The sequence below is a fragment of the Homo sapiens genome, chromosome X (assembly GCF_000001405.40).
Source record: "Homo sapiens chromosome X, GRCh38.p14 Primary Assembly".
Taxonomy (NCBI): domain Eukaryota; kingdom Metazoa; phylum Chordata; class Mammalia; order Primates; family Hominidae; genus Homo; species Homo sapiens.
Window position 1 is genome coordinate 110,092,083 of NC_000023.11, and position 18,179 is coordinate 110,110,261.

At 40.7% G+C, this 18,179-nt stretch overlaps 1 protein-coding gene across 20 annotated transcripts in view; it reads left to right on the forward strand.

The window, feature by feature from the left end:
• The window catches only part of TMEM164 (transmembrane protein 164), a 181,883-nt gene that overhangs the window by 89,714 nt on the left and 73,990 nt on the right, over positions 1-18,179 (forward strand). For 17 of the 20 annotated variants that reach the window (XM_047442570.1, NM_001353849.2, XM_047442569.1 and 14 more), the window contains one exon: positions 16,998-17,064. The exons of the other annotated variants lie outside the window; for them this stretch is intronic. In XM_047442570.1, coding sequence (XP_047298526.1) covers positions 16,998-17,064 — 67 coding nt within the window. The remainder of the gene's footprint in view (positions 1-16,997; positions 17,065-18,179) is intronic. 20 annotated transcript variants of the gene reach the window in all.

The following is an 18,179-nucleotide window of genomic DNA, read 5'->3' on the forward strand; positions in this document are numbered from 1 at the left end:
CCAGTACCATGCTGTTTTGGTTACTGCAGCCTTGTAGTATAGTTTGAAGTCAGATAGCATGATGCCTCCAGCTTTGTTCTTTTGGCTTAGGATTGTCTTGGCAATGCAGGCTCTTTTTTGGTTCCATATGAACTTTAAAGTAGTTTTTTCCAATTCTGTGAAGAAAGTCATTGGTAGCTTGATGGGGATGGCATTGAATCTATAAATTACCTTGGGCAGTATGGCCATTTTCACAATATCGATACTTCCTATCCATGAGCATGGAATGTTCTTCCATTTGTTTGTATCCTCTTTTATTTCATTGAGCAGTGGTTTGTAGTTCTCCTTGAAGAGGTCCTTCACATCCCTTGTAAGGTGGATTCGTAGGTATTTTATTCTCTTTGAAGCAATTGTGAATGGGAGTTCACTCATGATTTGGCTCTCTGTTTGTCTGTTATTGGTGTATAAGAATGCTTGTGATTTTTGCACATTGATTTTGTATCCTGAGACTTTGCTGAAGTTGCTTGTCAGCTTAAAGAGATTTGGGGCTGAGATGATGGGGTTTTCTAAATATACAATCATGTCATCTGCAAACAGAGACAATTTGACTTCCTCTTTTCCTAATTGAATACCCTTTATTTCTTTCTCTTGCCTGATTGCCCTGGCCAGAGCTTCCAACACTCTGTTGAATAGTAGTGGTGAGAGAGGGCATCCCTGTCTTGTGCCAGTTTTCAAAGGGAATGCTTCCAGTTTATGCTCATTCAGTATGATATTGGCTGTGGATTTCTCATAAATAGCTCTTATTATTTTGAGATATGTCCCATCAATACCTAGTTTATTGAGAATTTTTAGCATGAAGGGCTGTTGAATTTTGTCGAAGGCCTTTTCTGCATCTATTGAGATAATCGTGTGGTTTTTGTCTTTGATTCTGTTTATATGACGGGTTATGTTTATTGATTTGCATGTGTTGAAGCAGCCTTGCATCCCAGGGATGAAGCCAACTTGATCGTGATGGATAAGCTTTTTGATGTGTTGCTGGATTCGGTTTGCCAGTATTTTATTGAGGATTTTTGCATCGATGTTCATCAGGGATATTGGTCTAAAATTCTCTTTTTTTGTTGTGTCTCTGCCAGGCTTTGGTATCAGGATGATGCTGGCCTCATAAAATAAGTTAGGAAGGATTCCCTCTTTTTCTATTGATTGGAATAGCCCCTCTTTGTACCTCTGGTAGAATTCGGCTGTGAATTCATCTGGCCCTGGACTTTTTTTGTTTGATAGGCTATTAATTATTGCCTCAATTTCAGAGCCTGTTATTGTTATATTCAGGGATTCAACTTCTTCCTGGTTTACTCTTGGGAGGGTGTATGTGTCCAGGAATTTATCCATTTCTTCTAGATTTTCTAGTTTATTTGTGTAGAGGTCTTTATAGTATTCTCTGATAGTTTGTATTTCTGTGGAATCTGTGGTGATATCCCCTTTATCATTTTTTATTGTGTATATTTGATTCTTCTCTCTTTTCTTCTTTATTAGGCTTGATAGTGGTCTATCAATTTTGTTGATCTTTTCAGAAAACCAGCTCCTGGATTCATTGATTTTTTTGAAGGGTGTTTTGTGTCTGTATCTCCTTCAGTTCTCCTCTGATCTTAGTTATTTCTTGCCTTCCGCTAGCTTTTGAATGTGTTTGCTCTTGCTTCTCTAGTTCTTTTAACTGTGATTTTAGGTGTCAATTTTAGATCTTTCCTGCTTTCTCTTGTGGGCATTTAGTGCTATAAATTTTCCTCTATACTCAGCTTTAAATGTGTCCCAGAGATTCTGGTATGTTATGTCTTTGTTCTCATTGGTTTCAAAGAACATCTTTATTTCTGCCTTCATTTCGTTATGTACCCAGTAGTCATTCAGGAGCAGGTTGTTCAGTTTCCATGTAGTTGAGTGGTTTTGAGTGAGTTTCTTAATCCTGAGTTCTAGTTTGATTGCACTGTGGTCTGAGAGACAGTTTGTTATAATTTCTGTTCTTTTACATTTGCTGAGGAGTGCTTTACTTCCAACTATGTGGTCAATTTTGGAATAAGTGTGATGTGGTGTTCAGAAGAATGTATATTCTGTTGATTTGGGGTGGAGAGTTCTGTAGATGTCTATTAAGTCCACTTGGTGCAGAGCTGAGTTTAATTCCTGGATATCCTTAACTTTCTGTCTCATTGATCTGTCTAATGTTGACAGTGGGGAGTTAAAGTCTCCTATTATTATTGTGTGGGAGTCTAAGTCTCTTTGTAGGTCTCTAAGGACTTGCTTTATGAATCTGGGTGCTCCTGTAGTGGGTGCATATATATTTAGAATGGTTAGCTCTTCTTGTTGAATTGATCCCTTTTCCATTACTTAATGGCCTTCTTTGTCTCTTGATCTTTGTTGGTTTAAAGTCTGTTTTATCAGAGAGTAGGATTGCAACCCCTGCTTTTGTTTTCTATTTGCTTGGTAGATCTTCCTCCATCCCTTTATTTTGATCCTGTGTCTGTCTCTGCACATGAGATGGGTCTCCTGAATACAGCACACTGATGGGTCTTGACTCTTTATCCAATTTGCCAGTCTGTGTCTTTTAATTGGAGCATTTGGCCCATTTACATTTAAGGTCAATATGGTTATGTGTGAATTTGATCCTGTCATTATGATGTTAGCTGGTTATTTTGCTTATTAGTTGATGCAGTTTCTTCCTAGCATCAAAGGTCTTTACAATTTGGTATGTTTTTGCAGTGGCTGGTACCGGTTGTTTCTTTCCATGTTTAGTGTTTCTTTCAGGAGCTCTTGTAAGGCAGGCCTGGTGGTGACAAAATCTCTCAGCATTTGCTTGTCTGTAAAGGATTTTATTTCTCCTTCACTTATGAAGCTTAGTTTGGCTGGATATGAAATTCTGGGTTGAAAATTCTTTTCTTTAAGAATGTTGAATATTGGCCCCCATTCTCTTCTGGCTTGTAGAGTTTCTGCCGCAAGATCTGCTGTTAGTCTGATTGGCTTCCCTTTGTGGGTAACCCGACCTTTCTCTCTGGCTGCCCTTAACATTTTTTCCTTCATTTCAACTTTGGTGAATCTGACAATTATGTGTCTTGGATTTGCTCTTCTTGAGGAGTATCTTTGCGGTGTTCTCTGTATTTCCTGAATTTGAATGTTGGCCTGCCTTGCTAGGTTGGGGAAGTTCTCCTGGATAATATGCTGCAGAGTGTTTTCCAACTTGGCTCCATTCTCCCCATCACTTTCAGGTACACCAATCAGACGTAGATTTGGTCTTTTCACATAGTCCCATATTTCTTGGAGGCTTTGTTCGTTTCTTTTTATTCTTTTTTCTCTAAACTTCTCTTCTCATTGCATTTCATTCATTTGGTCTTTAATCACTGATACCCTTTCTTCCACTTGATTGAATCAGCTACTGAAGCTTGTGCATGTGTCACCTAGTTCTCATGTCATGGTTTTCAGCTCCATCAGGTTATTTAAGGTCTTCTCTACACTGTTTATTCTAGTTAGCCATTCGTCTAATCTTTTTTCAAGGTTTTTAGCTTCTTTGCGATGGGTTCGAACATCCTCTTTAGCTTGGAGAAGTTTGTTATTACCGATCGTCTGAAGCCTTCTGCTCTAAACTTATCAAAGTCATTCTCCATCCAGCTTTGTTCCATTGCTAGCGAGGAGCTATGTTCCTTTGGAGGAGAAGAGGCGCTCTGATGTTTGGAATTTTCAGCTTTTCTGCTCTGGTTTCTCCCCATCTTTGTGGTTTTATCTACCTTTGGTCTTTGATGATGATGACGTACAGATGGGGTTTTGGTGTTGATGTCCTTTCTGTTTGTCAGTTTTCCTTCTAACAGTCAGGACCCTCAGCTGCAGGTCTGTTGGAGTTTGCTGGACGTCCACTCCAGAACCCGTTTGCCTGGGTATCACCAGCGGAGGCTGCAGAACAGCAAATATTGCAGAACAGCAGATGTTCCTGCCTGATCCTTCCTCTGGAAGCTTCCTCTCAGAGGGGCACCCGGCCGAATGAGGTGTCAGTTGGCCCCTACTGAGAGGTGCCACCCAGTTAGGCTACTCGGGGGTCAGGGACCCACTTGAGGAGGCAGTCTGTCCGTTCTCAGATCTCAAACTCCATGCTGGGAGAACCACTACTCTCTTTAAAGCTGTCAGACAGGGACGTTTAAGTCTGCAGAAGTTTCTGCTGCCTTTTGTTCAGCTATGCCCTGTCCCCAGAGGTGGAGTCTACAGAGGCAGGCAGGCCTCCTTCAGCTGCAGTGGGCTCCACCCAGTTCGAGCTTCCTGCCTGCTTTATTTACCTACTCAAGCCTTAGCAATGGCAGATGCCCCTTCCCCAGCCTTGCTGCCGCCTTGCAGTTCTATCTCAGACTGCTTTGCTAGCAGTGAGCAAGGCTCTGTGGGCATGGGACCCTCCGAGGCCAGGTGCGAGATATAATCTCCTGGTGCGCCGTTTGCTAAGACCATTGGAAAAGCGCAGTATTAGGGTGGGAGTGTCCCAATTTTCCATGTACTGTCTGTCACGGCTTCCCTTGGCTAGGAAAGGGAATTCCCCGACCCCTTGTTCTTCCCGGGTGAGGTGATGCCCTGCCCTGCTTCGGCTCATGCTTCATGGGCTGCACCCACTGTCCAACAATCCCCAGTGAGATGAACCTGGTACCTCAGTTGGAAATGCAGAAATCAGTGGTCTTCTGCGTTACTCATGCTGGGAGCTGTAGATGGGAGCTGTTCCTATTCAGCCATCTTGGACGGGCAAGTGTCCTACTTTCTTATATGTGAATTCTGAAACGCAAGGTCCTAACTGCACTCCCTGCCACAAGACAGACAGGATTGCGCTACAGCACCTCACAAAGTGGGAAAAAAATGTATACACTCTTAGATCCAGGGGTTTATAGAAACAGAAAGTCAGTGCAGAAGGACTCTGGACTCCGGGATGGTAGAAATAGATTTTATTTTTTCAGATGGAGTCTCACTTTGTGCCCAGGCTGGAGAGCAGTGGCATGATCTTGGCTCACTTCAGCCTCCGCCTCCTGAGTAGCTGGGATTACAGACGCATGCCACCATGACCAGCTAATTTTTGTATTTTTAGTAGAGATGGGATTTCATCATGTTGGCCAGGCTGGTCTCGAACTCCTGACCTCAAATGATCTGCCTGCCTTGGCCTCCCAAAGTGCTGAGATTACAGGCATGAGCCACTATGCCCAGCCAGATCTTTTGTTTTTATAATACAAATCACAGAAAGTAAATCTTAGTGTCTGGCTGAAGGAAAGAAGTAGATCCAGATGTCCATCAACATGACAATGGGTAACTACCTTGTGGTATATTCATAAAAGTGAATAATATTCAGCAGTGAAAAACAGATGAAGTAGAGCTACATGTATAAACATGGATAATTAGAAGTTAAGTGAAAAATGTAATTTGCCTAATAATCTTTCTCTATACAATGTACCATTTATTTAAGGGTATAAACATGAAACAACACTATATGTGATTTGTAGATACATACAAACATAATAAATGTATAAAAACGTGGGCAACAAGGAAGTCAACTACTTTAGAGTAGAGGTTCCCCTTGTAGATGGTTGGGTGAGATGAATCGTATTCAGGAAGGGTACATAGAGGACAACTGAATCAATAATATTCAAATTTATTAAAGCTGTATGGTAGGTGCAGAGGTGCTAATTTTTAAAATATTTTACTGTATGTTTAAAACTTTAAGTGTAAAGAAAAAACTAGGGCAGAAAAACGTTGTTTAAAATGCTCAGAATCCTGGATCACTTATTTTGTGAGTGTGAAAGCTGAGACTGGGAGAGTTCAGTGTTTTGCTTCTCATATACATTTTTGAATTTTGTTCAATTATCATACAGCCAAATTGGCTTTTTTGGGAATAAAGTTCTATGAATCTTAAGACATGTATAGATTATTATAATTACTACCACAGACAGGGTTTAGAACTGCTCCATCACTTCTAAAAACTTCTCATACTCTTCCTTTAGTGTGACACCCAGATTTCTAAACCCTGGCAACCACTGACCAGCTCTGCAATCACTGTAGTTTTGTCCTTTGGAGAATGTCATACAAATGGAACCTTACAGTGTGTAACCTTTAGAGAGTGGGTTTGTTTACTTAGCATAATGCCTTTGAGATTCATCTGAGTTGATACATGTATCAATTGTTTATTCCTTTTTATTTCTGAGTGGTTTTCCATGGTCTGTAGGTACCACAGTTTGTTTATCCATTCAGCCATTGAAGGGTACCTGGACTGCTTCCAGATTTTGTCTATTATGAATAGAGTTGCTGTAAACATTGGTGTAGAGGGTTCCATGTAAACATAAGTTTTCATCTTAGTAGGGAGCCAGGAGCAGAATTATTGAGTTGTAGGGTGAGTACTAGTGTTTTTAACTTATGAAAGTTTTTTCTTTTTCTTTTTTTATTAAAAAAAACCTTTATAAGATACCATCAAATAGTTTTCCAAATCAGTGCTTTTACATTTACATTCCTACCAACAGTGTATGAAAATTCCGGTTTCTGCACATTGCTATTGTCTTTTTTGTTGTTGTTGTTATTATAGCAATTCAGATGAGAAGTGGCATCTTATTATCGTTTTAGTTTGCATTTCTCTAATGGTAGGGAACATTTTTATCTGCTTATTTGCCGTGAAAACAACAACATATTCAATAACAACTTCTTTTGGTGAAGTGTCTGTTCACAGTTTTTTCAGCCCTTTTTTTTTCTTCTTTTTTTTTTTTTGAGAGGGAGTCTCACTCTGCCACCCAGGCGTGATCTTGGCTCACTGCAGGCTCCGCCTCCTGGGTTCACGCCATTCTGCTGTCTCAGCCTTTCACGTAGCTGGGACTACAAGGCACCCGCCACCACACCCGGCTAATTTTTTTTTTTTTTTTTTTTTGTATTTTTAGTAGAGACGGGGTTTCATCATGTTAGCCAGGATGGTCTCGATCTCCTGACCTTGTGATCTGCCCACCTTGGCCTCCCAAAGTGCTGGGATTACAGGCGTGAGCCACCGCTCCTGGCTGAGTTGTGTGTTTTCTTATTGTTGAATTTCAGGATTCTTTATATATTCTGGATAAAAGTTCTTTGTTGGATATGTGATTTGCAAATATTTTATCCCATGTTATATGTTATATAGCTTATCTTTTCATTGTCTTAAAGTGTCTTTCACAGATCAAAAGTTTTTCATTTTGATTAATGTCAGTTTATCATTTTTTTTTTCTTTTATGTATTGTGTTTTTGGTGTCATGTCTAAGAACTGTTTGCTTAACTGAAGATCACAGATTTTTTCATATATTTCCTTCTAAGACTTATAGTTTTATATTTTCTATTTAGATTTATGACTTAGCTTTTATATAAGTTGTGAGGTTTAGGTTAAGTTTGTTATTTTACATATGAATGTCCAATTGCTTCAACCGCATTTACACTATTTTCAAAAATCAAATGATTATATTTGTGTGGGTCAAATTCTGGACTATTATGTTTCATTGATTGATGTGTCTATTCTTGGGCAATACTGCATTGTTTCGGTTGCTTTAACTTTGTAGTAAGCCTTAAAATCAGGCAATGTGACTCCTTCATTATCTGCTTCTTTTACAGAATTATTTTAGCTATTCCTGTTTCTTTGACCTTCCATATACACTTTAGAGTCAGTCTATCTATAAAATATCCTGTTGGGATTTTGATCAGAATTGCTTTGACTCTATAGATCGTTTTGGTGAGAAATGACATCTTTCCTATGTTGAGCCTTTCAGTCCTTGGACAAGGTATGTCTTTCCATTTATTTAGGTCTTTTATTTTATCAGCATTTTGCCATTCTCAGCATATGGATCCTTTAAATATTTTGTTAGATTTATACTTAAGCATTTCAGTTTTTTGAAACATTTTAAGTGGTTCTTTCAAAAATGTTGCTTTTCAATTGTACACTGCTACTGTGTAGAAGTGATTGATTTTTGTGTGTTGACTTCGCATCCTGTGACCTTTAAAAACTAATGTATTTTTTAGGAGCTTTTTTGTAGATTCCTTGGGATTTTCCATACATATAATCACGTCCATTGCAAATAAGGACAGTTTTACTTCTTCCTTTTCGATCTCTATTATTTTTGTTGCCTGATTTCCTCGCTAAAGTTGCCAGTCTAATAGTAGTGGTGAGAGTGGACATCCTTGTCCTGTTTCTAATGTTGTCGGGGGGAGCATTTAGTCTTTCACCATTAAGTATTAGATTAGGCATAGTAATTTTAGGTGCCCTTTATCAGGCTGAGGAAGTTCCCTACATCAGGTTGAGGAAGTTCCCTACTATTCCTAGTTTGATGATAATTTTTATCATGAATAGATACTGAATTTTGACAAAATACCCTTTCTGTATCAGTTGATATGATCACGTACTTTTTAGTCTTTTTTAGTCTTTTCAGCACTGATTTGGTGAATTATATTAATTGAATTTCAAATATTGAACTAACCTTGTGTTACCAGGAGAAAACGCACTTGGTCATAGAGTATTATTCTTTCTTGTTTTTGAGATGGAGTCTCGCTCTGTTGCCCAGGCTGGAGTGCAGTGGCACAATCTCGGCTCACTGCAAGCTCTGCCTCCTGGGTTCACACCATTCCCCTGCCTCAGCCTCCGGAGTAGCTGGGACTACAGGCGCCCACCACCTCGCCTGGCTAATTTTTGTATTTTTTTTTTATTTTTATTTTTTTAGTAGAGACGGGGTTTCACCTTGTTAGCCAGGATGGTCTCGATCTCCTGACCTCGTGATCCGCCCACCTCAGCCTCCCAAAGTGTTGGGATTACAGGTGTGAGCCACCGTGCCTGGCCAAGTATTATTCTTTCTATACTGCTACTTTAGATTTGCTAATATTTTACTGAGGATTTTTGTGTCTGTTGTTCATGAGGAATATTGGTCTGTCTGTCCTTCCTTCCTTCCTTCCTTTTCTTCCTGCTTCCTTCTTCTTCCCTCATCTTCTTCTTTTTCCTCTATTTTCTTCTTCTCTTCCTCTCCTTCCTCCCCACTACCCAACTCCTCTAGTTTTGGTATCTGGGTAATGTAGTGATGGACCATTCTGTTTAATTGATTGATGTGTTCATTCTTTCCCCTCTTCAACTCAACATGAGAAATGTTTCCTTCTCTTTTATTTTCTGAACAAGATTGTATAAATATTTGGTAGAATTGGTCACTGAAACTGAGTCTGGAGATTTCTTATTCAGATGATTTTAACTATGAATTCAATTTATTTAATAGTATTATTCAGGTTGTCTTTTTCATCTTGGGTGAGTTTTGGAGTTTGTGGTTTTTGAAGAATATGTCCATTTCATCTAAGTGGTCAAATTTATGTGCATAGAGTTGGTTGGAGTATTCTTTTATAATTTTAATTGCTAGGGTTCTAATATCTTCTTTCATTGCTGATATTGTTAACTTTTTTCCTTCTCTCTTTTTATCCATGTCATTCTACCTAGAAGTTTATAAATTGTATTGACTTTTTTCAAAGACAAACTTTTGGTTTTATTGATTTTTTTTTTTTTTTTTGAGACAGTGTCTCACTCTGTCGCCCAAGCTGAAGTGCAGTGGCATGCTCATGGCTCACTGCAGCCTCGACCTCCTGGGCTCAAGTGATTCTCCCACCTCAGCCTTCCAAGTAGCTGGGACTACATGTTTGCACCACTACATCCAGCTAATTTTTTAAATTTTTTTTGTAGAGACAAGGTTTCACCATGTTGCCCGGGCTGGTCTTGAACTCCTGGGCTCAGGTGATCTCCCCGCCTTGGCCTCCCAAAGTGCTGGGATTACAGGCGCGAGGCACTGAGCCCTGCCTCTCTATTGTTTTTCTTTTCCATTTCATTGATCTCTGCTCTTTATTATTTCATTTTTTCTGCTTGCCTTGGGTTTATTTTGCTCTTATTTTTTTTATTCTTAAGGTGGAAGCTTAGATTGCTAATTTGAGACCATTCTTTTTGCCTAATATAAGAATTTCCAGCTGGGTGCAGTGGCTCATGCCTGTAATCCTAGCACTTTGGGAGGCCGAGGTGGGTGGATTGCTTGAGGCCAGGAGATCAAGACCAGCCTGGCCAACATGGTGAAACCCCGTCTCTACAAAAAATACAAAAAAAAAAAAAACCAACACACCAAAAACTGGGCATAGTGGCAGGCACCTATAATCTCCTACTTGGGAGGCTGAGGCAGGAGAATCACTTGAACCTGGGAGGCGGACGTTGTAGTGAGCCCACATCCGGCCACTGCACTCCCGTCCTCCAGCCTGGGTGACAGAGTGAGACTGTGTTAAAAAAATTTTTTTCCTGTTACTAGCATATTTTTGTTGTTGTTGTTCAGTTCAAAATATTTTATAATTTCCTTTGAGAATTCCTATCTATGAATTTGCCTTTCCAGCCATCCAGAGAATTTGTCATCTGTTCCATATCTTTTTGTTCTTGGTTGTTATCAAGTACTAAATTAAAATAGAATTCATCTCGTGAAGGATCATAATAGCTTCATTTGTTATGAATAATGTGATATTCATTTACATTGATCTGTTAAGGATAATACAGCCACTGTATATTGAGTGCTTATTATATTCTAGGCACTACATTGATCACTTTACATGGTCTTATTTTATTAAATTCTCTAACCCTTTCAGTAGGTACTCTTATTAGTTCAATTAACAATTGTGAGGCAATTGACACATATTTTAAGTGATTTGTCTGTAGTCACTTGGCCAGTAAATGGTAGGGATGGGATGGAATGTAGACTTGATTCCAAACCCCCTTAACCATTTTACTACATTTCCTCTAGTTATTTCACTTCTTGCCTTCTCATAAAAATTGTTAGCTTTTTGAGGGCAGATACTGTGTCCTACTTATACTTATCTTCTTTTCCCTACAATACCTGCAACAATGTTAGGCACACAGTAATGGATTGACTAATGTTTGTGGAACTAAATTCAACAAAATTAACTGATCTAGAAGAGAATCAAAACCATGGTGCTTGCCATATTGCCTCAGATTCTTACCAGCTAAGCAGACTCAGTGTAGCATCCTATACAAAACCAAAAAAGCTTATAGGAAATATTTGTGTCAGTAATAATGGCTATCTTGTGTTCTTTTGTGATGATCAGTCAGATGTGGCCACAAGAGTAGACAGAGGAGAGGGTAAGGAAAAAACAAAGTTTATTATATTCACTGGTCCCAGAGACAAGAGGCTCAGGATACTAGGCAAGGCCACTTGGGAAAGACATTAGGGTGGTCAGGAGGCAGGAGATAGGAGCAAGGAGGAAGTTTTAGTCCACTGCCTTTATTGGGGTTTCCACAGAAAAAGCAGGGCAGGGCAGGACAGGGTGAATAGTTAAGGATTGGCTAGTTTGAATAGTTTCAGCAGGCCTCTAAGCTGTAGGGCTGCACCCTAGTTGTCTGGTGTCTGGCCCTGGGGCAATTAAGGAAGAGGAATATAGCCTCCTGGGGTATAAGGGGCAGATAGAGGAGGTCTGGCTTTGGATTGGTTAGTTTGCATATCAAAGGCATGTTTCTGGGTGAGTACTTGCTGTCTCTAAGAATTGGCTGGAGGATGGGGGTCGGGGTGGGGGCAGGCTGTCTCTAGCCAGAAAGGTTTTTAAAGATACCAAAATATCACAATATACAGAAAATAAAATATATGCTGCATATCAAGCAATTCAACTTTTTCTTGTAATATCATGACTTTTCTTTGCTTCTTGGGAGCACTTCCAGCATGACTGGTGGCACTTCATCTGGATCCCCTGGTGTTATTCAGGGGTTACAGTATCACACTAAACAGGATGGAAAACATGAGGGAAGGGTCGACCCTTGAACAACATGGGTTTGAGCTATGCAGGTCCACTTAGAAGCAGATTTTTTCAATAAATATATTGGAAAAAGGTTTGGGGGTTTTTGACAATTTGAAAAAATTTGCAGGCAAGTCTTATAGCCTAGAAGTATTGAAAAAGATTAAGAAAAGGTTAAGTATGTCATGAATGAATAAATACATGTAGACACTAGTGTATTTTATAGTTTACTACTCTAAAATATACACAATCTATTACAAAAAGTTAAAATTTATCAAAGCTTATGTACACAAACACTTATAGACTGTACATTGTGCCATCGTAATTGAGAGATGTAAAGATATAAAGATGCACTATTAAAACATAACTGCATAAAATTAGCTGTAGTACATACTGTACTCCTGTAATAATTTTATAGCTGCCTCTTGCAGTGAGCTCAGGTGTTGTGAGTATCCCTTAGAATGCCCTGTGCCCCTGATCATCTCCGAATGGGCTGTTCTTTCTCCAGTAAATGGTTGATCCCAATAAAAAAGTGATCCTTGTGGTTCTCGCATTTTTCATGGTGTTTAGTGCAATACCATAAATGTTGAATAACACCAGAGGACCCATACAAAGTGCACTAGTCATGCTGAAGTGCTCCCAAGAATCAGAGAAAAGTTAAGACATTACAAGGAAAAGTTGAATTGCTTGATATGCACCATAGATTGAGGACTGCAGCTGCAGTTACCCACTATTTTAGACGACGATTCATCTTGTGAACAGATGATGCAAACTTATGGTATTGATAAATGTAGTACAGTACTCTAAATGTATTTTCTCTTCCTCATGACTTTCTTAATATTTTCTCTTCTCTGTAAGAATACAATATATAATACATATAACATACAAAATTTGTGTTAATTGATCTCAGTAAGGCTTCTGGTCAACAGTAAGCTATTGGTAGTTAACTTTAGAGGAGTTAAAAGTTATAGGCAGATTTTAGACTGCTCAGGGAGTCAGTGCCCCTAACCTCCACATTGTTCAAAGATCAGCTGTATATACAATACAAAGACCAATACTCTGAGCTGGTAAGGAGGTTTATAAGTATGACTAACCAAATATAAGTCTGCCCCAAGCTCTGCTTTTTGGTTCTGGCCTTCAGTCTGTCCATCTGCTTTCTCTGGACCTCCTTCTCATACTTTGAATTTTTTAAGTAGTTTGTCCCTCATATGATTTTTTTTCTATTCCTTTTTCCCTTCCTGTCCTTCCTTCACTCCTTTCCCTCCCACCTCCCTCCCTCCCTTCCTCTCTCCCTTCCTTCCTTCCTTCCATCCAACCATCCATCCATCCATCCATCCATCCATCCATCCATCCATCCATCTATCCATCTTGAGGCTTTAGGTGAGTTCTTCACCATTTATTTAACAAATGTTTTATATGAGTCTTACTATATGCCATGCACATTTTAATGCATTTTTTAAATATAATTCCCATAACAATCCTATGAATTGGGTACTATTATGGTTCCTATTGTACAGATGAGGGAACTCCCTCACAGGACTTTCTAGTGGCCCTATAGCCATTTGCCACACCCATTACAAATTTTTGTGGCAGGCTGGAGGGGGGTATAAAGTTAAAACAAAGGCCTCTGCTTCTGAGTTGGTCAGTCATTTACCTGTAGAGCTGTGCTTTGTCGGTAAAGGGCAATGTAGTTGTGTGATCAGGATAGTTGCCACAGAACACACAAGGGGTTTAGGCATGACCTTCCTTGCCCCATTGGCACGCAAGAACTTTTTCCTTCCTGGCCTGCAGTCTGATACATACACACATAGAAACACAGACACACACACACACACACACACACACACACACACACACACAGACACACACACAGAGAGAGAGAGAGAGAATGAGAGAGAGAGAGAGAGAGAGAGAGAGAGAGAGAGAGAGAGAGAACATATGTAACATTCATGCCATGGATTTAAAGCAGAGTACAATGGCAAAAATACAATCTTGAAACTTGGCGACATCTGAGCGTGACTTCAGCCTCTGCCACTTATTGTCTGTTTGATCTTGGGCAGATCACTTAATCACTTGGAGCTTTGGTTTTCTCCACTATGAAATGAGGAAGATGATGGTGGTTATAATAAAAACTCTGATGACTGAATGAGATGATATATTTGAATCCTTAGCCCAGTGATTTGCACATAGAAATGTTCAATACATGTTAGAAATGTTTGTGATTATTAATATGCAAGGCTTCTTTATGTATTAAAGATAATTCACCCTCTAGCATATATATAGCTTGTATAAACTGAATTTTGAGAACCCAGAGCAATGCTTGTCTTTATCTAGGGACTTAACTGTTTTGGATCTTGATGTTAGTTTTATCTTCATCTTTGGCCGTCCGTAGGTCCTGATCAGTTCCATCAACCTCAAGATTTAACTTTTGGTGTCCAAATGTCTAATTGGCCCTGTGCAAATGCTGACATTTCTTTTGAGGTCCATGGCAAAGCCTGGCACCAGAATCCAGCTTTTTTTTTTTTTTTTTTGAGATGCAGTCTTGCTTTGTCACTCAGGCCGGAGTGCAATGGCATGATCTTGGCTCACTGCAACCTCTGCCTCCCAGGTTCAAGTGATTCTCCTGCCTCAGCCTCCTGAGTAGCTGGGACTACAGACGCCTGCCACCATGCCCAGCTAATTTTTGTATTTTTAGTAGAGACGGGGTTTCGCCATGTTGGCCAGGCTGGTCTTGGACTCCTGACCTCAAGTGATCCTCCCGCCTCAGCCTCCCAAAGTGCTGGGATTACAGGTGTGAGTCACCACGCCCAGCCCAGAATCCAGCTTTCATCTGGACTGTTGATGTGATTTTTTTTTCCCTCTCCCAGAGTGAGTCTTTATGTTGTGGCTGTCACATAGGAGGGCCCAGGGGCAGGGTTAAGCCAGATTCTACTTCACTGAAGGCCTGGAATGGCTGTTAATAGCTCCTGCTATAGACAGTGAGGCTTGAGCCAGATTTTTTAGTACTCCATTTGTCAGACACGGGGTGCCACCTTGAATGACACTGCTGAAAAAGGATTGTGGTAACCTGGCCAGCCCCAGGGAGGTTGGAGTGACATTGCGTTGGTGTGCCTCTTCCCTTTTATGGACCAGGCCAAGCCCTATTAACCTGAAGGAGTGTGATGGCCTTGTTTAGCCAAACAGCCTTTTCCACTTTAGTCATCCTTTGAAATCTTATTAAGCCAGGGGCAGGGAAGGAAGAAGGAGGCAGACAGACTCTTGAAACTAAAAGGAGGGAAAGAGGAACATTCTAACCTTCCACCTGAGGTCATACTTTGGCAGGAGGAAGGGACCAGGGAATTTTATACAAGGCAGCAAGAGAGATATAAGAGTTTGGGGTCTGGAGTCAGATAAACCTGGTTTTGAATTCTGACTCTACTCTCTTATGTGTGGTGTTGACCAGATCACCTCACTTCTCTGAAACTCGTTTCCTTATCAACAAAATGGGAAAAGTAATTGTACCTATCTCAGAAGATTGGTATAAAAATTAAGCAAGAAAGTTCATGTAAAGCAGTTAATCAGATACTTGCCTGGAATATTATTATTTTTCTTCTGGTTCTTGATTAAGGATGCCTGGAATATATTAAGTGCATACCATCGCTATTCGCAAAGTTTTGGTGACAAAGAACAATAGGAAGAAACAGCCTAGGGGAAGTGAAAAGCAGTCTTGGGGTTTCTGTGCCATTCTCCGGGGTCTCCTTGTAACATCTTTCAGTCTGTCTCCCTTCCCTTCTTCCCTTTTTCCCTTCTTCCCTCCCCTCCCCTCCCCTCCCTTCCCCTCCCCAAGTCTTGCTCTGTCGCCCAGGCTGTAGTACAGTAGCATGATCTCGGTTCACTGCAACCTCCGCCTCCTGAGTTCAAGCGATTCTTGTGCCTCAGCCTCCCGAGTAGCCGAGGTTACAGGCGCCTGCCACCATGCCTGGCTAATTTTTGTATTTTTAGTAGAGACGGGGTTTTGCCATATTGTCTAGGGTGGTCTTGAACTCCCGACCTCAGGTGATCTGCCAGCCTCTGCCTCCCAAAGTGCTGGGATTATAGGCATGAGCCACCGCACCCAGCCACATCTCTTAGCGTTACAAACACATCTGTGAGTGCCAAGAGAAGAGGTAAAGTTCTAGAGAGTCTTCAACATGTGGACTGTTTTCCCAGCCAGGGCATAGGAGGTATGCTGTGTGTGTGTGTGTGTGTGTGTGTGTGTGTGTGTGTGTGTGTGTGTGTGTGTGTGTGATTGAGATTGACATCAACCCCCATCTAGTGTTGAGGTCTAAGAGGCGTGTTGCCTCGGTGGTGGTTGTCCATGACCCATCAAATCAACGTTTCTTCAAGAGGAACAGACTGTCATTCTTTTCATCTCTCTTAGTAGTAAAGAACCATTTGCCTTTAATAATGAAGGAAGCTACTTAAATCCATCCCCAGAGCCCTCACAAGCAGGGTTTGTTCCTGAGTTAATTGTGCTTGACTTATGAAGGGTTTCTAATGAGTATGTATTTTAACAAGTCTGGCATTGGGATTGGGAAACAGTATCATTAACCAGTGCTGGAGACCAGTGGTTTTCTTCTTCTTTTTTCTTTTTGTTTTGCTTTTAAGTCACAGAGCCCAATATGTAAATGAAAGCCTGGAAGGCTGCCCACTTTTGCTCCTGAGGGCATTTCTAAGAAAGTGGGGAAATATAGTTTGCAAAACACTGCAGTTGGCTTCCTGGGTTGTAGCAATCTTTTTCTGTTTAGGTCTCTGTTTGGGGAAAAGGATTATACATGACAGTGTAAATAAGCAGCCATGTTATAATAAATAGGTTTCTACTGTAATAACAGAACACTTACCTCCCGCAGTTCCCCTTTTCTAATGCCGCCCAAGCTGTAGCAGTTGAAGCCGTTGATTGGGACTGACTGAATGTTTAGGGAACACAGAGCTCATTATTTAATAAAGTGTTGTAACCAAAGTATGTTCAGGAAGTGTTCAGGGGATTCTGAGCCAGTGATGGTGCTCTTCAGAACATTTCAGTTAATACAAAATATGCCACTATTAATTCATTTTGTGCAAACTCCAGTGCCATTTTCCACAGAGAGCAACTTGTATACATAGTTCTCTTCCATATGCCGTGGCTTAACCTGATGTGTCTTTTTTCTCCCTTTGTATCAGGGTCTGAGTATGACCTGAACTTTATCTTTCTCCCCCTCTAGGCTACAGATGCACATGTTGAATGGAGCTCTTCTGGCATTGCTGTTTCCTGTGGTAAACACTCGGCTGGTAAGTAGCCTCTTCTAGGAATGTAACAGCAACATGCAAAGCAGTACTTGCCTATATGCCCATGTGATTTTAAAAATATACATATAGCTGGCCAGGCGCGGTGGCTCACACCTGTAATCCCAGCACTTTGGGAGGCCAAGGCGGGTGGATCACTTGAGGTCAGGAGTTTGAGACCAGTCTGGCCGACATGGTGAAGCCCTATCTCTACTAATAATACAAAAATTAGCCAAGCATGGTGGTATTTGCCTGCAATCCCAGCTACTCGGGAGGCTAAGGCAGAAGAATCGCTTGAACCTGGGTGGCAGAGGTTGCAGTGAGTCAACATTGTGCCACTGCACTCCAGCCTGGGCGACAGAGCGAGACTCGGTCTCAAAACAATAAAAAAATAAAATAACCAGGGCAGACCAAAGCCTATACAAACTCTTGGAGAGGTTTAATGGAAAGAAAGCAGCTTTCAGGTGTTCTAAGGGGCTCTCGTTAGATTCAACCACATTGGCCTTGAATAATTTGCTGTGGGAGCCTCATAACCTGTCCACTTCTCCAAGGACTTCCTAGGGCAAGAATTAGATTCCTTCCCCATCCACCCAAACCCATGGGCCAGTCTGGACCAAACAGCCCCTCATGGCTAGCAGGGAGAATCCCATGGTTGCAGCGGGCTGGGTGATAAACCAGCCCAGAAAGAAGCAGGAGCTACGAGCCATGTCCTCAGACTCCCAAATGTGAGACTGTGGAGGCATTAGCAGGTCACATTGAGAAGCTCAGAAAAAGAAATCACTTATAAAATTATTACTACTGCTTTCTGACTTAAATTTGCCTTAAACATTAAGATCATAGTTTAAATCTTTAATTGATAATCATTTTTGGATAGCATTTTACAGTGTACAAGGTTTTTCGCATAACAGTGTTTGAGGTAGACAGGGCAAGAATTATGGCCTCTTGTTTTACAGAGGAAGAAAATTTTACTCAGGGAGTAAAATTCCAAGTGGCAGTTAGGATTGGAGCCTAAGCCTCTTGATCCTAAGATCACAGCTATGCTTTGCTCCCTCTCCACAAATATTCCTGTCATCTCCTCCCCACAAATATTCATGTATACCTTTATGATAGTTACAATTTTC